General features: G+C 42.3%; 1 protein-coding gene and 1 non-coding gene across 3 annotated transcripts in view; both read left to right on the top strand.

The window, feature by feature from the left end:
• The window catches only part of RHEX (regulator of hemoglobinization and erythroid cell expansion), a 49,277-nt gene extending 25,650 nt beyond the window's left edge, over positions 1-23,627 (top strand). The window contains exons 1-6 of one of the 2 annotated variants that reach the window (NM_001369490.1): positions 4,773-4,828; positions 18,911-19,017; positions 19,259-19,359; positions 20,833-20,976; positions 22,314-22,375; positions 22,930-23,627. In NM_001369490.1, the coding sequence (NP_001356419.1) occupies positions 19,007-19,017; positions 19,259-19,359; positions 20,833-20,976; positions 22,314-22,375; positions 22,930-23,130 (519 nt within the window). In that variant the 5' untranslated portion in view covers positions 4,773-4,828; positions 18,911-19,006 and the 3' untranslated portion in view covers positions 23,131-23,627. Of the gene's footprint in view, positions 1-4,772; positions 4,829-18,910; positions 19,018-19,258; positions 19,360-20,832; positions 20,977-22,313; positions 22,376-22,929 lie in introns of those variants that run through there. The other variant, NM_001007544.4, reaches the window with a different exon arrangement.
• LOC124900428 (small nucleolar RNA SNORD60) lies at positions 1,417-1,502 on the top strand. The gene has a single exon (XR_007067382.1). It is a non-coding gene; the product is annotated as a small nucleolar RNA SNORD60 (small nucleolar RNA).
• Positions 23,628-24,678: the final 1,051 nt, after the last annotated feature.

Below are 24,678 nucleotides of genomic sequence, written 5' to 3' on the forward strand. Positions count from 1 at the left end.
AAAGACACCCATGAAGCCATGTTGTCATTCTGTCTAGACCCGCTGGACTGCACCCTAAGCCATGACATGTTGACTGTGCAAAAAGTCATTTAGCTGGGGGGATGCAAAAGGTAAACAAATATTGCATAAAGCAAATGGCTTTTGAAGTAATAATGATAACAATAATAAATGATCTGAATTTGAATCCTGATTCTGCTACTTAAACAATTCTGTGACATTGAGCAAGTTAACCCCCCCAGTCTTGAGTTTCTTTATCTTAATATAGTGTTCATGATATATTCCTTGTAAAGTTGTTCTGAGGATTAAAGAAGCATATATAAAGCAGCTGATATAGTGGCTGGTGCTGAAAAATAGTAAAATATTTTATTGCTAATAATAGATTTTTAAAAATACATTTAAAAACCAGTGGAGATGTATATCATTACTGAAAAAGTGATAATTCATTGCTATCTAGGTTGCAGTGAAATAGATACACTCAAATGCTGCTAGTGGTGTAGTAAAACAGACTTGAAAGCAGAAGGTCAATATGATGCAAGAGCCATAAAGACGTTTCCTTTAACTTCAATATCTGCTCCTGGAGCTTTAAATTAAGGAAATAATCTAAAATAAACCAAAAAAATTAGTATGTACAAAGGTACCCATCACAGTGTAGTTGCCAATAGTAAAACCCTGGGAATGACTGAATGATGACCCAAAGGAATGGTTAGGAATTTAGGGTTAGATCAGCAAGGCATTTTTTTTCTATTTTTTTTAGATGGAGTCTCACTGTGTTGCCCAGGCTGGAGTGCAGTGGTGCGATCTCAACTCACTGCAACCTCTGCCTGCTAGGTTCAAGCGAATCTCCTGCCTCAGCCTCCTCAGTAGCTGGGATTACAGGTGTGTGCTACCACGCCGGGCTAATTTTTAAATTTTTAGTAGAGACGGGGTTTCACCATGTTGGTCATGCTGGTCTCAAACTCCTGACCTTGTGATCTGCCTCTTCGGCCTCCCAAAGTGCTGGGATTACAGGCCTGAGCCACCGTGCCCCACCAGCAAGGCAAAATATTTAGCAGCTATTGCAAGTACTATGAAAACTCTTTGGATGCAGAGACACCCACATTTGCAAACATCCTGAAAGCCTGGTAGAGTGTGAAGACAGAAAAGAAAGCAAAGTGGCAGAAATACAGTTAAAAGGGCATGCGGCTACCAGAGGGGGCAAGCCTTATAGACGTTGTTCAGGATCATGGGTTTCATCCTAATTGCAATGGGAAGCCGCTGGAGAATTCTGAGCAGAGGGTGACATAACCAGAATGGTGGGTTTTAAATGATCCTTCCTTATAATGTGGAAAACTATTCTTTTAAATGCAAGTATGCAGACAAGGCATTATGCAAAAATATATTAGGGTGATTGCATAGAGAGTAGGGTTTTTTCTCCCTTGTCAAAAATTCCCCAATCCTATTTCTGACACTTCATATGAAAGCTGCATGTGCAGTCTTATTATTATTTTGCAAGCCTGGGGCTTAGGCAAAAAAAGACAAAAAATCCCTAATTCTGTTGACACAACATTCCCTACTTTAAAATAGAGAAAACAGTTATCCTACAGAGAGTAGCTGTGTTTTCTGTGAAACATTGTGACCCACAAATGTAGGAGACTTTATGCACAGAGTGGGGAGGCTTGGGAAGGAGGCTGTTATCTTACGAAATGGGCTACGGGGTGGGGTAGGAGGTGAAAGTGTGTTATCGACCTCGATCAGAGGTTCCTTTTCCAGTGGGTGATAAACCATCAAAAAGAGCTTCCTGTTGATGTTACAGATGTTATAACTTCACTTATCACTGTTTGATCTCCCCTTGCATCCTACCCTCGGGGCAGGAGTCTGTCAGCTCAAAGCAGAGATAAGGGGGCCACATGTCCCAGGGCTTGGCAGTTGGAGCCCTGAACCCAGACCTCAGTAGGAAGCATCAGCGTGCATCCATTCCCAGTAGCCTCTGAGCAGGAGCAGGCAAAGTGCCTTCTTTTTGAAATAGGGCATCACTGTGTCACCCAGGCTGGAGTGCAGTGGCATGATCATGGCCCACTGCAATCTCTGCCTCTGGCGCTCAAACGATTTTTTCACCTCAGCCTCCCGAGTAGCTGGGACTACAGGCGCATGCCACCACATCCAGCTAATTTTTTTGTACATACACACACACACACACACAGACACATACACAACATAGCAAAACCTCGTCTCTATATGTATGTTGCCCAGGCTGGTCTCAAACTCCTGGGCGCAAGCTATCTGTCTGCCTTGGCTTTCCAAAGTGCTGGAACTATAGGCTGAAGAGTCTTTTGGAGCAAATCATCTTCTCATCATCGGCAAGTGTTTGCATGTAGTAGGGAGTGGACACGATGCATGTATACACCATGCATATGTAACACAGCACCTTAATTCACTCATTTATCCATGCCACAAACATGTATCGAGTACATACTAGGTACAGGCACAATCCCGGCTGGTGGGGATACAGAGAACAAGACAGACTTCAATAATTCTGACTTTGCTATTTAAAGCAGAGTTGTGGATGACATGTAATACACAAAACCATGAGATTTTAGAGCAGAAAGGATGCTGGAAATGATCTAATCAAAAATTCTTACAATGAGATATAAGAAAAATGTAGTCCAGAGGGGATAAATGCCTCAGATTTTTAGGTCATTGAAGTTCAAGTCAAGTGGATTTTCTACTAAACTCTGGTGCATCTTATAAAGATAGAAGCATATTGCTGCAACGCAGTCCTAGCAAGAGTGTGCACAGAAGTGTAGCTTAATTAAAGGAATCATTATCTCTGATACATGATAAAAATGCCGCATCATTGTCCTTAATCAACTGAAGATCTCTAAAATGACACTGAAATATGTGTGTTCAAAGATCTTTAACAATCCTATGATCTTGTGAATCTTGGAGTAGCATCATGGAAGGTTCTGGTCCAAGAGTGGTCCACACAGAGGCTAGAGCTGTATGAATGTTACGTGACATTGGATGCTGCCATATCTACACTGGGTTCCTGTGAATGGATAATAGAAATAGCAGGCCAAGCATCTTGGCATGATCCCCACAGTTAGCTGTAGCTTGAATTGATTACTTAGTGTCCATGGCTGAGTCAGGAGCAGAGCGAAGTGTGTATTGACACTGGCAGGGCAAACCTAGAGCAGGTGGAGAGCCCAGTTAGGAAATCACTCCACATGGCTCCCAGTGTTCTGCTTTCCTCAAATCTTGAGTAATAAAGAGGCTTCATGTTTTTAACATGAACTATGCAAAGGGAAGCAAACTGCAGCAATAGACGTAGTTCCACAGTGAGCTGTGATACATCAACGGGTCATAAAACACTGAAAGGGACTCAGCCCAAGGGGTGGCTTTCTGACTTGCATTTAGAGAATAAAAATGTTAATAGCGGCTGGGCGCTGTGGCTCATGTCTGTAATCCCAGTACTTTGGGAGGCTGAGGCGGGTGAAGCACGATGTCAGGAGTTTGAGACCAGCTCCTGACCAGCATGATGAAACCCTGTCTCTACTAAAAATACAAAAATTAGCCAGGTGTGGTGGCACTCACCTGTAATGTCAGCTACTCAGGAGGCTGAGGCAGGAGAATCGCTTGAACCCAGGAGGCGGAGGTTGCAGCGGGCCGAGGTCGCACCATGGCACTCCAGCCTGGGCAACAGAGAGAGACTCCGTCTCAAAAAAAAAAAAAAAGTTAATAGCTACCATCTGTTGTTCACTACAGAAAGGACATTCTGTTAAGTGCTTCACTTACTTACTTATATTATTTAACCTTAAACAACCTTATGAGATTTAAAAAATATCAGATATTTATTATTAACCCAATTTTACAGATGAAAAAACTGACAATCAGAGAGGTTAAGTAACTTTTCCCAAGTCACCCAGTTGCCAAGTAGTGGAACCAGGATTGAAACCTGACTATATCTAACTCAGAAGCTATTACTCAAATTGCACCAGGCAATTTGTTCACAGCAAGGGACTGACATCATAGAGGCCTACAAATCTCTGTTTTCTTTGTCTGTTTTATATCTGGGTCATTTTATCCTCCTCCCATTCTTCTTTCCTCTTAAGTTTCTATTTTGGGATTTTAGGCCCTCCAAAGAGCCTGAAATCAGCCTTCCTTCCCTTCCTGCTGTTATCCCACAAACTGTAACAGCCATTTTTGGTTGGCCTCATTTGATGCTTAATGACAAAGAAGTTGTCCTCAAAAATTTATTCTTATCTATTGCCCAACGTCCCCTACTCACTTAATCTTTGAATACATCACATATAGATTCACAGATGAGCTAGGTTGGAAAGTATCTTTGCTAATATCTAGAGACCTACTTCTTCATTTTACAGAGGAAGAACATGAGTCCCTTTAGGGAAAAACAAATTGTCTGAGCTCATGTGGCACATTGGTGCCAGAGCTGGGACTTGATCTTAGGCCTCTTAACTCCTCCTTTAGTGCTCTTTCCACTCTACCTGGCTGCGTGTGTATTTGTGGTATCTAAATGTGTGCCACAGGGAGAGAAAGAGATTACTAATCTCCTCCATCTACACAAACTGTCTGTACCAGGGAGCTGGGCAGAGCATGGCCAAAAGAGACAGGAGGCATTATCTCTCCCTTCACCCTGCTGTACTCAACGAGCGAGATTGCTATCTTCTGAGTGGCAGTGCTCCCGCCTTGTTGGAAATGTTGAAACACTTGTGACTGACCTCCAGTGACACAGAAGCTTCTGGGTAGGGGCTGGAGAAGGGTCGGGGAGATATTTCCGTTAGGACATCGCTGAAACACAGACTGGGATCAAACTGTGCTCATAGTCCTAAGGGTAAGTACTGTCTATGGAGACAGGATTTTAAATTAGTTTGAAGTGTGCATTTGTTTGCGAGCATATATGTGTAGAAGTTTTAGAGAGGATTCTCTGTTTATGTGCTGAGATTCCAGGGTGCGGAATTCCACTTGCAATCAGCTTACAGTGAGCCTAAGATTACACTTTATGGACATGAATTTCTTGTGCCTGAGACCTGACATCTGTCTACACTAGCAACAGCAGCCATTGGGGCTTCGGCCAGAAGGTACATGGATTTTGGGTCCAGCAAAAACTGGTTCCAAATCCTCACTCTGCTAAACTTTTGTGAGCCTCAGTTTCCTCATCTGTAAAATGGGCATAAAACACCCACCTTACAGGGTTGCTACATGGATTCAGACAATGTACATTTAGTGCCAGTACAGGCTCCACCAATAACAGCTATGAAGTTTCCTTTTTAAGTCAAATGGGAACCAGATCTCACAGAATATCTTCCCCCATAAACATCCTATAGGAATGTTTTCCCTGAGAAAACACTCTGAGCAGCAAAGGACTAGTATGTGTGGAGGGAAGAGAGCCAGCCTGGGAGTTTTAAAATTTTATGAATAGAGGTCAGAGAATGTGCACCATGAAAGAAAAAAGCCATGCCAGCATCTGGACAAGGAAAAGCTAATAACAGCACAAAACAGAAACAGTCGACCCTTATATAGAGCTTAGTATCTGCCGAGGACTGTTCAAAGAATTTTACGCAGATTGGCCCATTTATTCCTCACACCTAAAGACGTAAGTGCTACTAACAGCCTTATTTTCCAGTTGAAGAAACTGAGGCGCCATGGTGTTAAGGGACTTGACTGAATCAGTGAAAGAAAACTCTTCTGGAGAATTTCATTACAGAAGAGTTAGATCAGGCTTTTCTCCATCTCTCCAACCTGGGAGGGGCTCAGACAATGCGGTGCTGGGAAGCATGTATCAGGTACTCAAGGAAGACTTGTTGATTGGCTGATCCTGCTTCTCGTTCTGTGTGTTGACCTATTTTGTGAGCTTTGGCAAACTACCCAATTAAATGCCTTGAGTAGGATCTGTTACATAATTGGTGGCACACAACGCAAAATGAAAATCTGGGGTCCCTTACTCAAAAATTGTTACGAATTTAAAGATGACAGCCACAAAGCATCAGGCCAATCATGGGGTCCTTGTGAGCACAGGGCCCTACTAGTCTGCACAGGTTACAAGTCCATGAAGCCAGCACTGGCCCTGAATCCTGACAAGGAGGCAGGAATGGTACTGGAAGTTTCCATGGTCTCATGTAGCCCTCCTAATAATTCTGAGCTCCCCCCAACCCCCGGGTTGGAGAGATGGAGAAAGGCCTGGTCTAACTCTTCTGTGCTAAAGTTCTCCAGAAGAGTTTTCTTTCACTGAATCAGTCGAGTCCCTTAACACCTTGCTGCCTCAGTTTCTTCAACTGGAAAATAAGTCAAATAAAGAGACATTTGACTGCCCAATTGAAAGAGGAGAAAAGCGAAACTCTGAGACATTAAGTGGCTCCCCCAAGGTTAAACATTTATTATATGCAAATTGATTTAATAGCAATGTGTACAGAGTGTTACACATTGAAATGCTTTTTCCATCCCTATCCCTGCCGTGTTTTTACGTACTGTGCTATGAATTGCGGAGTGTAATATATGCAGTCCCAGCCAACAAGATGCATAATCTATAGAGGGTGCATAATCTGTAGAAGGTGCCTAGTTTCCCTAAAATTTAGCAGGCCAATCGATGAAACAGAATAATTTGACCCCTTCTAATTCATCTGGAGCTTTGTGGGAACTAGCAAAATGAATCCATGAATACTGCTTGAGTAGCTTGCAACTTTTTGTGTTCTTGCTGATTTAGTCTTGGAACTAAGTTGCATCCACATTGCATTCATCTCTAGTAGTTCCTTGCAAAACTGCTTTCCCCAAAATTACTAATTAGAAACTCTGGATGACTTGCTTTCCTGCTAGAAATTGGCAGTGCTTGCACCTAGAAATAAATGTGACTGGAGGTGTGGTTTATCTAGTTGAGGCTCAAAGTTGCTCTTTCTCACTTTTGAATCTCACTTTTTAGTCCATTTCAGAAAAATTCTAAAATAACAAAATGTCAGAACTGAATTGATTTAGCCCACTCCTCTCATTTTATAGACAGGGGAACTGAGGCTCAGGGAGAGGAAATAATGTGCCCAAGGAATGTATAAAGTTGTTGAACTGGAATGTTCATCTAGGTTCTCATGCCATATTCCAGATGAGCCCTAGCCTCATAACCACCTGGGGTGAGGACCCTGACATGGTGACCAGAGCCAAAGAGAATCCAGGAAAGATTTCTCTGATATGAGAATGAAGGTGATCCTGTAACCCTCTGTTGTCCTTTTCCCCATGATATTTGGCACACTCCATCCCTCCCTTTCCTCAGCCTGGCGTTTTGACCTTCTCTATTCCCTGGTGAGTGACTCATTGACAGTCATAGGAACAGGCATTGTTTAGGACCAGGGACATCGCAGGACCCCATGGTTTCGTACACTGTGTTGCTCCCACCTGAAAATCATGAGTGGGCCCAGTGTTCTTACAAGGCCTTATGGAAATGGGTGTGTTTATACATTTAAGACAATTTTGAGTTGAATGTTCTGGTCCAAGGATCATCCTCTGGTACCTATATATGCCAGGCCCTCTACTGAGCATTTTCCTGTTTTTTTTTCTTTTTCTGAAGAATGGGGTCTCACTATGTTGTCCAGGCTTGTCTCAAGCTCCTGAGCTCAAGCCAACCTCCCACCCCTGCCTTTCTAATTGCTGTGATTACAGGTGTGAGCCACCACGCCCGGCCAGCATTTTCAATACTGAATGCAATGTGGTGAAGGCTCTGGCCTCAAACCATCTGTGTCTGAATTATGTCCCCTCCACGGGGGATTACAACCTGGTTTTCTCATATGTAAAATTGGGAGAACAATAGTATCTACCTCATAAGGTTGTTATTCTGAGGATTAAATAAGATAATTGATGCAAAATGTTTTTTATGATATAGCACATACATGGTAAACACAAGACGTGTGAGTTAAAAACATGAAACAGGCTGGGCACGGTGGCTCACACCTGTAATCCCAGCACTTTGGGAGGCTGAGACAGGAGGATTGCTTGAGCCCAGGAGTTTGAGAACAGCCTGGGCAACATGGCAAGATCCTGTCTCTCAAAAATTAAAAAATTAGCCAGGCATGGTGGTATGCACCTGTGGTCCCAACTACTCGGGAGGCTGAGGTGGGAGGATTGCTTGAGCCCAGGAGGTCGAGGCTGCAGTGAGCCGTGCTTGCACCACTGGACACTCCAGCCTGGGCAACAGAGCAAGACCCTGTCTAAAGAAAAGAAAAACCCACAAAACAGATGTCATCCCCATTTTACAGATATAACCCTGAAGCTGGAAAAGTAAAGCAACTCACAGCTAGGAAGGCCATAGCTGATGTCCTAAACACAATCTATTTGGCCACTGAGTCTCTACACCTGACCATTTGCCTATACTCGCTTGTGTGGTCGCTTTGCAGTATACTCAGCTGTTTCCACATTATGCTATTTACATGTGGTCAAATATAAATCCAACTTTGTTAGAAGACAATCAATTCCACTAAAGCTGTCCCCAAAGCCAGGGTTGGCAAGACAACTTTAGCTAGATTGCTCTTCTCCCCTCCTTCCATCCATCTGTTGCCTGTCCTTCAAATAATTCCCTCTCAGTGACTCTTCCCTGAACATTCTGTCTCTTGGGGATCTCTTTTTCCTCTGAAATATAATGTATTATTGATACCACTCCTTCTGACAATTCATTATTCTTCACCTGCGGCATCTCTTCTGCTTTTTGACTTTTCACATATTAATGCCTTGATTTTCCAAGTGCAAATGAACTCTTGAAAGTACAAATGGCATTTTCTCCTTCACACCATCAAGAGTATTTCACACAGGACCATGTGCATGGACCACTCGATAAATATTTGATTGATTGAAATTCAGACATTTAGGTGATCATCTCAATGTTCTATTAACATGGTGAGATATAATTTATTTAGATAAATTTGGTGTCATGCTGATTTAAGGCACTCAGAAAATCTAGGCTTATTTCAATGTCTGAAAACTTTTTTGGCTATAGTTAATAACAACGTATTGTATTCTTGAAAACTGCTGAGAGTAGATTTCAAATGTTCTCACTACAAAAAATGATAAATATGTGAGGTTATGTAGCTGTCAATTCATTTGATTTAGCCATTCCACAATGTATACTTATTTCGAAACATGTTGTACACAATAAATATGGATAATTTTCACCAATTAAAAAAATAGGCCGGGTGCAGCGGCTCATGCCTATAATCCTAGCACTTTGAGAGGCTGAGGAAGATCACTTGAGCCAGGAGTTCAAGGGTGCAGTGAGCTTTGATCCTACCACTGCACTCCAGCCAATTAGGAAAAATTTTTAATTTATTTTTTATTAACTAATTAAACAATAAAAAATAAATATTTTTCTTAATTGGAAAAAATGCATGTTAATTGCAGAAAACTTTGAAAATGACAGAAAGTATAACAAATGAAATAAAACATCCTCAATCCCAATACCTGGTTTTGTTAACACTTACATGTATCTTCTTTCATTCCCTCCATATGAATAAAGTGCATTTAAATAACATCCTAAACTTATTTTCTATAGATTCATATTTATGAATAAATCTATATTTGATAAACAAAATTATTGTTAATGAAATATTCTGGACCACGTGCAGTGGCTCACACCTGTAATCCCAGCACTTTGGGAGATTGAGGTGGGTGGATCACTTGAGGCCAGGAGTTCGAGACCAGCCTGGCCAACATGGTGAAATGCTGTCTCTACTAAAACTACAAAAATTAGCCAGGCACGGTGCTGCACACCTGTAATCCCAGCTACTCGGGAGGCTGAGGCAGTAGAATTGCTTGAACCTGGGAGGCGGAGGTTGCAGTGAGCCAAGATTGCGCCACTGCACTCCAGCCTGGGGACAGAGCGAGACTCCGTCTCAAAAAACAAACAAATGAAAGAAATATTCTGGATTTGGGGAGCTGACACATGAATTGGGTGTGTTATTACTGAACTACTATGATGAGAAAGAAGTTTAATGACCCAGAGTTTTCTCTCTTTATAAATTTTCATTCTTTTTATGTTCACTTTTTTTTTTGAGACAGGGTCTCACGTTGTCGCCCAGGCTGGAGTGCAGTGGTGCAACCACGGCTCATGTAGCCTTGATCTCCCAGGCTCAAGTGATCCTCCTGCTTCAGCCTCCCAAGTATCTGGGAGTACAGGTGCACTCCACCAGGCCCAGCTAATTTTTTAACCCATCTCCTGTTTCCCTCAAGAATACTTTTGTCTCTTACCCTCATGTAACATCATATACATTTCTGCTACATGATGATTAGAGACAAGTTCTATTTAGAAATAACTCCCAAGAATGGTTTTTATATTTTATTTTCATATTGAAAATGAGTCAGATTTGCTTCAGCCTCAAAGAGAATTAGTTGTACTTTTTTTTTTTCTAAATAGAAAATGGGTTAAAACATTTTTTGTAGAGAGGGGGATCTCACTATGTTGCCCAGGCTGGTCTCAAACTCCTGGGCTCAAGCGATCCTCCCACCTTTGCCTCCCAAAGTGCTGGGATTACAGGTATGAGCCACCACGCCCAGCCTTATGTTCACTTTTTACAAAATTGTGATTATATTTTATGTAGCTAAATACAATTGCATTGTATATTTTCGTAGAACAGATTTCTTTCTCCAGATGAGTTCTTCCTAAATGTAATTTTAAACGGCCATATGGTCTTCCATTCAAAGCCTCAATCCTCATTTCTTCAGTTTTTGTTTTTTTCTTTAGATTGCTTCCCATTTTTCACTTTTATAATGACGCTGTACAGAGCTCTTTTGCATAATAGCTTTGGTCTGTTCTGGATTGTTTGTAAATTGTGTGCTCTACACTCTTTACCCATTTGCTGTTTGGGGGCCCTAGTGTTTTTCTTAAAAATTTATATAAACCAAAGATGCAAAATCTTTAAAATAGTGGTTTGCCATACTAGTTTCAGTTTTTTTTTTTCTGTTTGCCTTTAAATTTTGTTAACATGTGAAGTTCTAATAGTTTAAAGCCAAATCTATTTTTCATGTATTTCTTTGTGATTTCTTCCATTGCATATAAACTGAGAAAGTTTTCTCTCATCTGGGGATTTAACAAATATTATTAAATATAGTAATATTCAATCCTAATTTCTTCTAATTTTAATGGCTCGATTTTAAAATATTTACCTCCTTAATCCGTTTGGAATTCATTTTGCTATCTAGGGTCTGGATCTAATTTATTTTCTTTTCCCTTACAGGTAGCTAACCCATTGTCTTGTGGGCAACATTTGTTAAATAATGATTTCCTTTCCTCCACTTGCTTTGTGAACTACTCTTATAACATTTATTGTACACACAGGCATATTTTTTCAAGTCTACACTTCTCTTAAAAAGTGGTAGTCAGAAATCTACCTTACCACAATTCCTTTTCTTTTCTTTCTTTTTTTTTTTTTTTTTTTTTTGAGACAGAGTCTCACTCTATCCCCCAGTCTGGAGTGCTGTGGCACAATCTCGGCTCACTGCAATCTCGTCTCCTAGGTTCAAGCGATTCTCCTGCCTCAGCCTCCAGAGTTGTTGGGATTACAGGTGCCCACCACCTCACCCAGCTAATTTTTGTATTGTTTTAATAGAGACAGGTTTCACCATCTTGGCCAGGCTGGTCTCGAACTCTTGACCTCAGGTGATCCACCCTCCTTGGCCTCCCAAAGTGCTGGGATTACAGGTGTGAGCCACCGCGCCTGGCCCACAATTCCTCTTCAAATTGCAATTTCCACTCTTTTTGATTGTTCTTGTGTTTTCCCAGATACATTTTAGAGTAACCTCAAGTTATAAAAAACTCACCATAATTTTTATTAGAATTATATTAGGCCAATAAATTAACTTTAAAAGTGATTTTTAAGTGTTACAGCTTCTCAACCTGAAATAGCATCTTTTTATGAGTTTGTCTTTCATGTCTCTCAATAAATTTTTATTATTTTCTTCAAAATAATTTTCTTATAATTAATATTATATTTAGATATTTCTATTGTTGTAGTTGCTAAATCTCATGGTATTTTTCCCCATTTTATTTTATGTCTGTTGCTAATATAATAGTAAGAATAGCTGGTAATTTTAGAATATTTATTATATCTACAGGACTTTACTGAGCAATCTCATTAATTCCTCTAGTTTTGCAATGCATTCTTTTGGATTTCTAGGTGTAAAATCATATATTTTGCAAGTAAGAATGAATTTGACTTCTCCTTGCCCAAAACTGTACTTTCATTTTGTTAATGTAGCAGCTGACAGCTCAGGCTCCAGCACCAGCCTGCCTGAGCACAAAGGCTGATGAACTGTTTTTGTCATCTTGAGCATATTAGGTAGCCTTTCTGTGTCTTAGTTTTGTCCTCTGTTAATTAAAAAATAATAATAGTATCTACCTCCTGGGGTGGTTGTGAGAATTGGATGAGTTAATGTATATAAAAATTTCTGCCACATAAAACATGCTCAGTAAATATTCAATACCCTTATTATTATTAGAGATGGGAGGAACTTTCCATTTCCAGAAATTATAACTTCTAGTACTCATTTCGGATAAGGGTTGCAGCATACACCCTTGCTCTCAAATAGCTGCAAAATAATTTACCATTTTGTCAGATACTGATTATTGGTGCAGTAATCAATACTGCACTGACTTACTATTCTTTATTATAGTAAGAAAAAATCCTCATACTTTTATTAACTTCAAAAATCAGTAATAAGTATTCAGTTTATCCAGTACATTTTGGCACTTTACCAAGATCATAATTTTAAAAATTTGCCCTATCAATATTGTATTTGTATTATATAAAAGACAGCTTCCTGACATGATTGGGATTTAGGATTTTGAGTCAGTTGGTTTAGGAAACATGAGTCTTCCAGCTGGCAACGTGGCAAATTTTTCAATCTTCCTAAGCCTTAGTTTCCTCATCTATGAAGTAGTGGTAATGTCTATTTTTGTAGAGTGAGAGGATTAAAGCACATGGAAAATACCCAATGTTTGTTTCCATCTTTGTAATAATCAATTTCCTCAACATCCTGGGCTAACTTCTTGATATTACCATATATATATACCTCCATATTCATAAATGAGATGAACCCAAGAGTTTCTGTCTTCCTGTGCCCTGTATTGGCTTGTAGAATAATAATTATGTGTTCCTTAAAAGTTTGAAACTCCTCATTTGTCAAACCATTTGGACAGGTATTGAGGAGGTAAGTCTGATAATGCTTCTAATTTATTTATTTATTTATTTCTCTTTCTTTCTCTCTTTCTCTCTCTCTCTTTCTCTCTCTTTCTTTCTTTCTTTTCTTTCTTTTCTTTTTAATAGAGATGGGGTCTTGCCTTGTTGCCCAGGCTGATCTCCAACTCCTGGGCTCAAGCTATTCAACTGCCTCAGCCTCCCAAAGTGCTAGGATTACAAGTGTGAGCCACTGGGCTCAGCCAATGCTTTTAATTTCTAAATAATAATAGCTTGCATTCATTGGATGCTTAGTACTATGTGCCAAAAGTTCTAATAACTATTTCACATAGCTCATCTAATTTCATCCTCAGAAGTAGTTATCATTTATATTTGTCTTATCTAGTCCCGAAATTAGTTACTGTTCCCATCTTACATATTAAAAGACTGAGGCTTTGAGAGGTTAAATAGCCAGGCCAAGCTCATGCAGAGAATGAGCTGGGATTTGAACCCAAGCAGTCTGACTCCAGGTTCTTTGTCTTTAGTGGCTAGATACCATGCTCCTTCCTAAACTTATTTCTTGTTATTTTGGTTTGGTTTTGGTCTAAGCTTTCCGTGCCATATGGAATCAATTTTGTTAATTTATACTTTTCTAGGAAACTATCCATTTTACTGAGATTTCATCAAAAAAAATTTTGTAGTCTAACTTTTTTTAAAACCTCTTCTTTTTTTTGGTACCCCATTTTTGTTGAAAAATGTTAATCCCTTCTGTTTCTGAGATTAATAGTCCCTATATTATTAATTTGGTTTATTTGTGTTTCCTCCTTTTCTTGATTATTGGAAACTGCATATTAAACTGGGAGAGAAAGTCTAGCAATGTGGAGGAGGCTGAATGTTACAAAATGGAAATAAAGATTTTTTTATTTTTAAATTTTCCATTTCCATCCAGCTTTGCTTTCTTTTCGCCTTACTTCACCCCAGCCTTTAAAGAGCAGGATGCTCAGGGCTGAAAAGAGCCTTAGGAGTACTTTGCCAAGCTCCCTAATTCACCAGGGCCTAGAGGGGACATCTCCCTGTCCAAAGTCACACCGTTAGCAAGTGACAGAGCCAGGAGAAGGCAGGCCCTAGCTCCCTTCTTTCCCCTTCTTTTGTTCTCCCTTCTTTTTGTTCTCTTTCCATTATACCTTAGCTAATGTTAAAAACAACAAATTAATGGAGACAGCAAAGAAAGTTTACAGCTACTTCATTTGAAAAGATTAATAAAGTCAGTTGACAATGTTGATTATAATTACTTTGATCCATATGATTTTTCTTTTTTTTTTTTTCCTTTTCAGACAGAGTCTTGCTCTGTCACACAGGCTGGAGTACAGTGGCGTGATCTCAGCTCACTGCAACCTCCGCTTCCTGGGTTCAAGCAATTCTCTGCCTCAACCTCTCGAGTAGCTAGGATTACAGGTGCCTGCCACCATGCCCGGCTAATTTTTGTATTTTTAGTAGAGACGGGGTTTCACCATCTTGGCCAGGCTGGTCTTGAACTCCCGACCTCATGATCCACCCACCTCGGCCTCCCAAAGTGCTGGGATTACAGGTGTGGGCTACTGCGCCTAGCCTAATCCATATGATTTTTCATAGAAATCATCTTCTATTGTGATCTTGTTTTAAACCGTTCTTTCTAGAATAAACCTATCCAAAGAAAGCATGGTGTATGGCAGGAAAGTGGGCATCTTTTTATTCTCCCCCTGATATTACGCTGTACCTATTGGAAAGGCCATGAGAAAGCTCCTGTATCAGTGGAGGAGGGAAACTTAATAAAATGGAATCCAGCCTTAACTCAAGTCTGAAGCAAACAAAATAAATGCTCTTAGCACTGGGACGAAGTAGGGTTTTTTTTGGTCGGGGGAGGAGGGACAGGGTTTTACTCTGTCACCCAGGCTCTTCTCAAACTCCTGGTCTCAAGTGATTCTTCCACCTCGCTCTCCCAAAGTGCTGAGATTACAAGCATGAGCCACCGTGCCCAGCCTAAAGTTTGGTTTTGAGGTGCCTGGCAGGGCACTACATTAGTGTGGGGGCTGGATGTCAAAATTCAGCACAGTGGAAGAGGACAGAACCGTCCCTACCTCGAGGATGGAACGAGGCACACCAAACCCTCACACAGTCCATGCGCTTTTTCACAACATAATTACCTTAAATTGCCCATTTCCTGGTTATTTGGTGTGTGTGTGTGTGTGTGTGTGTGTGTGTCACGTGCACGCGCAAATGAGCAGATGTCTCTGCTGATTGTCTGATCAGCAGTCTGCAATTAGACCCCAAGGAACAACCTGCTCATTGTGGTTAGGGGCCATTAGCCACTTAAATAATGACATCTGTCATAATTTTCATACCTTGGATCTTATCTCCAAACTGTACTCAAAACAAATGCCTAAGTTTTCTAAAATAGACCAATCCAATTTTTAATAGTTCTAGTCACCATCGTGGTGGAGGATTTTAGGGTTGAATAATACCTAATAATTACTGAGTGCCTCGTATATGCCTGGAATTGTATAAAGGTCTTTACAAACAGCATAAATCACTGAGCTCATGCAAGAACTCTGTGAAGTAGGAAACTATTATTCTTCTCACTTTATAGATACTGAAATTATTAAACTGAGACACTGAATTCAATAATTAACATCTAGAAGGGAACTGAACTGAAATTAGTATTTAAGAATGTTGGACGTCCGTATTATTTACTGTTTTCATTTGGATGAGCTGCTGTGTGTCATTTGGCTAGTAAGGGAGACAGGGTCTTACTCTGTCACCGGGCTCTTCTCAAACTCCCGGCCTCGGTGATCCTTCCACCTCGCTATCCCAAAGTGTACGCTCTGAGTATATGCTCAGAATATATTAAAATGTGGAAGATGGTGTAGGCAATCTAGTTTTGTATAAAGGGCCAAAATAAGGCATTAATCTTAAAATAATGGAACATATATCAAATTCAGTGATTCTCAACTGAGAGCAAACCCTCCTACCTCAGGGGGCTTTGGAAATGTGTGGGGTCATTTGGGGTCCCTTTGGCCATTACACTGGCCTGTTACACTGGGGGGCTTTCAGGAGGCTCCACAACCTGCCGTCTGCAAGACAGTTTTAGACAATAAGGACTTGTCTGGCTCCAAATGTCAGATACTACCGAGAAACACTGATCAAGGGCAATGGTAGGAATTCGAAATGATACCGTAAAACTCAAAGGTGGCAAACTCAAATGCCTTTAGGGATTAGTCAGGAAGTGAACAAATCATGTCCCAGTTTAGGGGCATACAAATTCAAATCACTAAAGCACTTCATCAGACAAAAATTAGGTGTCAAATGTGGCCTGTGGATCGCCTGGTTGGAGCCTTTTAGGGGAGGTTTTTCCTGACCAAAAAAACATGTTTACGATATATTAAGAGTAAAAAAATAGCTAACAATCTGTATGATTCCATGTTTTAAAGACATTGTCTCTGTGTACACACATTATTTGCATATATACATGCACTTATATCCATGAAAATATTTAGAAAATTTTCTGGAAGGATATGGAATAAGATTTGGGGTAATTTTGGCTGGGCGCGGTGGCTCACGCCTGTAATCCCAGCACTTTGGGAGGCCAAGGCAGGCGGATCACCTGAGGTTGGGAGTTCGAGACCAGCCTGACCAACATGGAGAAACCCCGTCTCTACTGAAAATACAAAATTAGCAGGGCATGGTGGTGCATACCTGAAATCCCAGCTACTTGGGAGGCTCAGGCAGGAGAATCGCTTGAACCTGGGAGGTGGAGGTCGCAGTGAGCCGAGATCGTGTCATTGTACTCCAGCCTGGGCAACAAGGCAAAACTCCATCTCAAAAAAAAAGATTTGGGGTAATTTTTTTTTTTTGATACAGGATCTCACTCTGTCACCCAGACTGGAGTGCAGTGGCATGATCATGGCTCACTGCAGCCTCAACCTGGACTCGGGTGATCCTCCCACCTCAGCCTCCTGAGTAGCTGAGACTATAGGCACGTGCCAGGCACACCTAGCTAATTTTTTTGTATGTTTTTAGAGATGGGGTCTTGCTATGTTACCCGGGCTGGTCTTGACCTCTTAGACTCAAACAATCCACCTGCATCGGCCTCCCAAAGCGCTGGGGTTATAGGTATGAGCCACTGTGTCCGGCTCAATTTGGGGCGATTTTCTAAAACGTGTTGCTCATTCATATTTTTAATTCTTTGACTACAAATGTCTACTAGTTGTGTAATTTTAAATAAATAAAGTAGAAGAGGAGCCTTAAAAAATAAAAGCTTTGAGTGTAGTATTGGAAGACAGCCCAGGCAACCTACTGGCCAACCCCCTCAAGGGGAGAATCATGTCTGTGATTAAGGACAAATGAGATATTCAATATTAGACAATCGATACTAAAGCACCAGAATTCCTTTAAAAATGGAACATTGTTGTTTTCTCAGACACACTGGTCTAGCTTCTAGCCCCCTTCCACAATTTTCATTTCTTTCACGATACAATAAAGCTCTTCTGGTAAAGTCCAGTCTTCCTTGTGCAGCTGCCCTGGCAGGGGTCTTGAGGAACCCCAGATGAGGCTTGAGAAATCAGCATCTGTACTGAAATTTATCTTAGGGGGGCTTATCCAAAATTAGACAAGAGCAGGACATTTTCAAGACAGCTCTGCCCCTTTTTCAATCAAGTCACCAAATCCTTCAAGAAATCCCTGTCTTGCTTTATTGCAATCATGCTTGTGTTTTCTTTCCAGTGTGTTGGCTCTACACTTTTTATTTTTTATTTTGTGCACAAGTCCCCTGTTTTTTTTTTTTTTGGTTTTTTTTTTTGAGACAGGGTCTTGCTCTGTAACCCAGGCTGGAATGCAGTAGCACCATCTCACTTCACTGAAGTCTCGACCTCCTGGGATCAAGCGATCCTCCCACCTCAGCCTCCTAAGTAGCTGGGACCACAGGCACATGCCACCATGCCGGGATAATTTTTATATTTTTAGTAAAGACGAGGTTTCGCCATATTGCCCAGGCTGGTCATGAACTCCTAGGCTCAAGTGATCTGCCCACCTCAGCCTCCAAAAGTGCTGGGATTACAGGGGCAAGCCATCCTACCTGGCCCAAGACACTTTTGACTGAGCTTTCATTGTGGAGTTTGCTGATCATTGGGCAATATCGGATTTTTCTATCCATTTGTCTGAGGACTCTGAGGAGGTGAGAGACAGGTAATTTCCTGGAGTCTTTTCTCGCTCGCTGTCTGGGTCAGTCCCCAGGGTCCCTCCCTCCTGCCTCCCTGCAGCCCTCCTTACCAGCAACTAAGTCACAGCTGTCCTACAGAAAGAATCCATAAGCCCTGCTGCTAACAAGGTGACCTGTGGCGCTTCTTGGCACTGGATGCATGGACGAATGGAGAGAGGGCTCCAGCACAAACAGGAAGGGGAATTCTCTAATCTAGAACATTGCTGCTTTTCACTCCCCACCTACCCCTTTCACATGCTGAATCTATAACAAATAAGGAACTCATATCTGGATTCTGAATCCACTTTTATAAACGAAACTAAACAGAAATCTCTGGGAGTGAAAATGTTAAGTGCACTTTACTCATCAAGGTTCTTTAGGAGAAGTGTCTAGAATGTATCATGTAGGAAAGTGGGGACTGAAGCAAGTATGATGAATAAACTGGGCATGTGTCACAATTGATCCTCAAGTAGCTGAGTTTGCCCAAGGGAAATTTGTATAAAGAGCCCTGGAGTCCTGACCAGCTCCTTACCTCTTGCAGATCTCCAGCACCCTGCCGGTGGCACTACTGAGAGACGAGGTGCCAGGGTGGTTCCTGAAAGTGCCTGAGCCCCAACTTATCAGCAAGGAGCTCATCATGCTGACAGAGTGAGTGGGCCCAACAAGAGCAGGAGCAAGGTTCCCACCAAGCTAACTGGTGTAGCTGTCTTCCAAGCACACATAGCACCCTTCCTGGCTGCCCCAGCCTTATTGTCCAGAGAGGCAAAGGGACCTACCCTGGGACACGCAGCAATGCCAGATGTCTGCCTCCAGCTAGGACAGGGATAGGTTTGCAATTGTATTCACATCCTTGCAATCTCTGACTTTGCCCCTTTTTCTTTCCCAACAGAGTCATGGAGGTCTGGCATGGCTTAGTGATCGCGGTGGTGTCCCTCTTCCTGCAGGCCTGCTTCCTCACCGCCATCAACTACCTGCTCAGCAGGCACATGGGTAACTGGCTCAGCATCCTCTTCCCTCCTAGTCACTCTCAGAGACCATTCTCGAGCCTCCAGCAGGACAAGACCCCTTTGGAGTTCCCAAACGTCACTCAAAAACCTACCAGAGGACCCACCGGCCAAATTCCTTCCCACCGCTCCCCCTCCCCCCAATAACTGTATCTGGGTAATCCCCACTCTGACCTCACCTTTTAACCAACTATTTCTGGCTGGAAGTGGCCATCCACATCCGTCTACTACCCAGACCTTCTGCCTAGACACAGCTTTTGCAATGCCTACGAGGAAGTGCTCGTGTAACCTGGTCTAATTAATTTTCTTCATCCCTGTTAAAGGACTGAATATGAAGAAATGTCCTTGAATTACAACAGAAGGAAATATGGTTGGACTTAGAGATTAGTTTAAATTCTTGAACTGATAAACAATAGAAGGTAGTGAAGCTCGGTCCTGGAAAGGCATTTCAATTAGGGAAAATAAAACAATGCTGCTTTGGTTGTGCTAAGAGAAAGGACGGGGCAAGATGATGTTTTGAGGGTCTTTCTAGTTAAGTCTACCTTCATTCATTCATTTGTTCATTCATTCATTCAGCAGATATTTCTTGAGCATCTAAGACACTCTCTGGGCCTAGGCTACACAACAGGGAACAAAACAAAAATTCCTACCCCCGGAATCTTTCATTCCATGTGACAACAAACAAGATAAACAAGTAAAACATGTATATGCTAGATTATGGTAAGTGCTAGGGAGGAAAAATGGAACAAGGGAGTTGATACAGCTTGGTGGATGGCTGGCATCCCCAAAAGGCTAACCTTTGAGTATAAACTTGCAGGGAGTGAGGCGTGAACTCTACCTGCAAAGGCCTGAAGGAGGAACGTGTTAGGCACATGCTAGCAAGAGCAAAGAGGCTGGGCAGCTGGAGCAGGCAGAGAGAAGCAGGAGAAAGCCAGAGAGGAAGGAGGAGTGAGGCCTCGGAGGCTGGGACTTGGCTTTTTCCAAGTGAGGCGTGGAACCATGGCAGGGTTTTGAGCACAGCAGTGCTGAGGTTTGAAGGGATCTTTCTGAAAGGTTTGCTTTACTGAGGGCAGTGTTCAACAGGCGCTGATTCAAGAGCCGATGTGCCTAACCCAGGCAGCTTCCACTTTTTTTTTTTTTTGAGATGGAGTCTCACTCTGTCCCCCAGGCTTGAGTGCAGTGGCACAGTCTCGGCTCGCTGCAACCTCTGCCTCCCAGGTTCAAGCAGTTCTCTTGCCTCAGCCTCCCTAGTATCTGACATTACCGGCACGCATCATCATGCCCAACTAATTTTTGTATTTTTAGTAGAGATGGGGTTTCACCATGTTGACCAGGCTGGTCTCGAACTTGTGACCTCAAGTGATCCATTTACCTCAGCCTCCCAAATTGCTGGGATTACAGGCATGAGCTACTGCGCCTGGCCAGTTTCCACTTTTGATCCCTGCCCTCTCCCTTCCAGCCCACAAGAGTGAACAGATACTGAAAGCGGCCAGTCTCCAGGTTCCCAGGCCCAGCCCTGGCCACCATCATCCACCTGCTGTCAAAGAGATGAAGGAGACTCAGACAGAGAGAGACATCCCAATGTCTGATTCCCTTTACAGGCGTGAGTAAGGGGTTGGAGGGAGAACTTGTCTAGGGACTAACTTTGCTCTCTCTGGACACCCAGGACCTCCCTGCAGCAACCCCATGGGCCCAAACCTCTAGCCTGAGGATTCCTCACAGCCACATCAGGACAGCCTTGCCAGCCTACTTTTTTTCAGAAAGGTGTTTTATTCTATTTCGTGGGGAAGATCATTCTGAGTTTGTGTGGGTCTAAGTTCTTTCCCGGGTTTAGTCGTGTGCAAATGATTGCAGGCGGCTTGGGAAATGTCCCTGCTCTTCTCTTTGTAAAGCCATGGCATCTTTTCTTCGGATTGATCAGCTAATGGTGGAGTTAAAATTTCACCTGCCTCTGCCTGCCTCCACCGTGGCTGCTGCTATGTCAGTGTTATTGGCTGGCTCTGTAGCTGGCTCCTCCATAGTCCCTAGAGGGACCCTTTTTCATGGTCTTAGATCTGCATGGGTATCTGAGTGTATAAATGTGAATCTTGCTGCTGGTTCAAATCTATATCACCCTCCTGCAAGTGAGCCAATAGGTCACTATTCACAGTGGAAGTGGCTGCTTTGGCAACAAGGCAACTCCCTGATAGGGGCTCACTCACCAGAGATTGCACTTCTTCCACTGGTTTGTCTCTTGATTGGTTTGAATTTGCTCTGTCCTGATTTTATCTTTTCAGTTGAGACATGGCCTCAGTGCCTGCCTGTGGGGACCTGAGGGTGCTGCTCATATGCATGTTTCAACAGAACTGGAGAGGCACTGGCCTTACCCTAACCCCTGGCCCCAAAGCTTCACCAGAGCCTGGCTAGAATCAGAGATTGTTTAGCTGTCAGGGACCTCAGAGACTCTTGTTCAACCCTCTTGTCTTGGGGGTGACGAAAACCAGGGCACAAAAAGAGATGTGATCTGCCTAGATTTAGTGACAGCTTTGGACTAGAAGGTGTAACTTCTGAGGCCAGAGCTGTTTGCATTGGGTCACATTGTCCCAGCATGTTCCTCCTGACTTTTCTTTCTGGAAGACAGCCCTTTCCAAGCACAGTCAACCTAGTGTATTTTTTAACATTAGTTTTAGATGGAGTTGAATGAAGCAGCAGTGCTTGGCCTCTTGGACATGTCCCTGCCTATTTTTGGAGACTTTCTCTCCCCCTACTCTTCCCCTATTCTGTTTCTCCTTCTTCCTCTTTTGGGGTCTCTGTATCTCTCTTCCCTACCCCCCCTTTTTGTTGCTGGCTCTGCCTCTGTCTTTATCTGATAATAAGACAATTCTCCCTTCCATTGTCTCTATCCTCTCTTAACACCCTCTGGCTTGCTTTGGAAGAGGAACCGTTTCTATTTCTCCCCAGATGACAGCGACACACCCTCAGATAGCTTGGATAGCTCCTGCAGTTCGCCTCCTGCCTGCCAGGTAATGGATGTGCCTAGTGATCTCAGACGAACATATGCAGTCTGGGGATCCCTGCTGTAAAACGCTGAAAACTCAAGTTACCCCAGCTATGTAGTGGGAGCAAGAAAAGAGGGTTTCTTGAGTCATCACAGCATCCTCAGGTGAGGGGGGGTCAGGCTTCCACCCATAACCCATATCTGCATGGATCACCCAAACAAAGTGGGTCTGAACAGACTGTAAAAATGAAAGTGCTAATGGGAAACCCTCTTCTCCCCACACCCCAGTTGTTGGGCTCAAGTCTGCTCTGAGTCCTGATCTCCCTTGAATTGAGTCTCAGCATCTTCCTGTTGCCTCCACCTGCTCGTCTGTAATCCCATTCCCTGCAGACAGGTGGAACAAAGTCACTGGTAATCTTCCTCATTGCCCTGGACTGCTCCCAGACACAGCTATTTGGACCCAGATCTTCCCCACCAAGCCATGGGCGAATCTTGTTGAGTAAGAGTTCAGTCCTGGGGTCTTATTTCCCCCAAACGTGGTAGGGATCTTGACCCACATGTCTCTGCTTTTCTCCTAAGGCCACAGAGGATGTGGATTACACACAAGTCGTCTTTTCTGACCCTGGAGAACTAAAAAATGACTCCCCGCTGGACTATGAGAACATAAAGGAAATCACAGATTATGTCAATGTCAATCCAGAAAGACACAAGCCCAGTTTCTGGTATTTTGTCAACCCTGCTCTGTCTGAGCCAGCGGAATATGATCAAGTGGCCATGTGAATTCCAAATATTTTTAATGGGGTCCAGTTCTCTATGGATTCTTACATTTAATTTGTAGGGAAATGCCATTTTTCCCCCTTAAACAAGGCATGGGGCTCACAAGTCTATGGAGACAGGCCAAAAAGAATGTGGAGAAGAAAACTGATAAATACACAGAGGTCCTCAAGACCCATGGACTCCTGGTCTGTACCCAAAAAAGCTGTTCGTTCCTCAAAAACAAAAACAAGGCTTGGCTGGGAAAACAGGCCAATGCCCCGGCAAGAAAGGTTGAGATCAGATGTTAGGAAGAACTTTCAGGTAAAGTATGAGAACTATGGAGTCCATCAGCAGAGATAGTAGTGAAGTCTCTCCCCAGGGAAAATTTTAAAAAGGTTGAATCAGCTGTTGTAGAGTTCTATTTGGCAATCTCATGGTTAAATGACTTCCCTTTGAGCTCTTTAATTATTGGCAATAAACAACTTCTTTAAAAGTTTTAAATAAAATAGCAACCACCACCAGTTCCTCTTTTCCTGTTGCCTAACCCTGCAGTTTTCCTTGTTTTCAGTGATGTGTTTTGCTGAGTAATCCTCCTCTGTCCTCAGAACTTTAAATAGTGCATTTACAAAGCCCACCATCAATCAACCTTTGAATCTGCTGTTTCTTATAAGCCAAAGATGACAAATGGAATTTTGGTAAATATCAACCAGCATCATAATCTCTTATTCCAAGAAAAATCTCCCAAAGCTCAATCTAATAAAATTCAAGATTCATTCCTGGTGTTTTTAAAAAAACAATTAGGAATACAGGGACACTTCCTAACTCAATTAAGAATGATTTATCTCAAATCAGGAGATTACATGATATTTAACTGTAAGCTCCTAGACACAGTCCTATTAAGTCAGAAACAAAGTAAGAATGTCCACAAGCCTGCCATTTCCTTTGTTATCTAACATTGTTCTAGAAGTTCTAATCAGTTGATAAAACAGTTAACAAAAGCAAGAACTATGAAAAATTGGAGCCAGGCACGGTGGTGCACGCCTGTAGTCCCAGCACTTTGGGAGGCTGAAGCAGGTGGATCACTTGAGGTTAGGAGTTCAAGACCAAACTGGCCAACGCGGTGAAACCCCATCTCTACTAAAAATACAAAAATTTGCTGGGTGTGCTGGTTGGCACCTGTAATCCCAGCTACTTGGGAGGCTGAGGCAGGAGAATCACTTGAACCCGGGAGTTGGAAGCTGAGTGAGCCAAGATCATGGCACTGCACTCCAGCCCGGGTGACAGAGCAAGACTCTGTCTCAAAAAAAAAAAAAAAAAAAAAATAGAAATGAGGAAAAATTTGTCATCCTTTTCAGATATCCTAGCCCTAGAAAACCAGAGAATTAAAATGCTTTAAAATTGATAACATGAGTAACCAGTGACTAGAGAAATATTTTTCTCCAACAGCTAATTTGACATGAAGTAAAAAGAAATTTTGCTCATAATAGCTAAACAAACATGCCCCCAAAATTGAAACCCTAGGTTTACTCCTAGCCAAATTCAAACCCAAGATCAGTGGTATTCAGGTTTTAG

The sequence above is a fragment of the Homo sapiens genome, chromosome 1 (assembly GCF_000001405.40).
Source record: "Homo sapiens chromosome 1, GRCh38.p14 Primary Assembly".
NCBI lineage: Eukaryota > Metazoa > Chordata > Mammalia > Primates > Hominidae > Homo > Homo sapiens.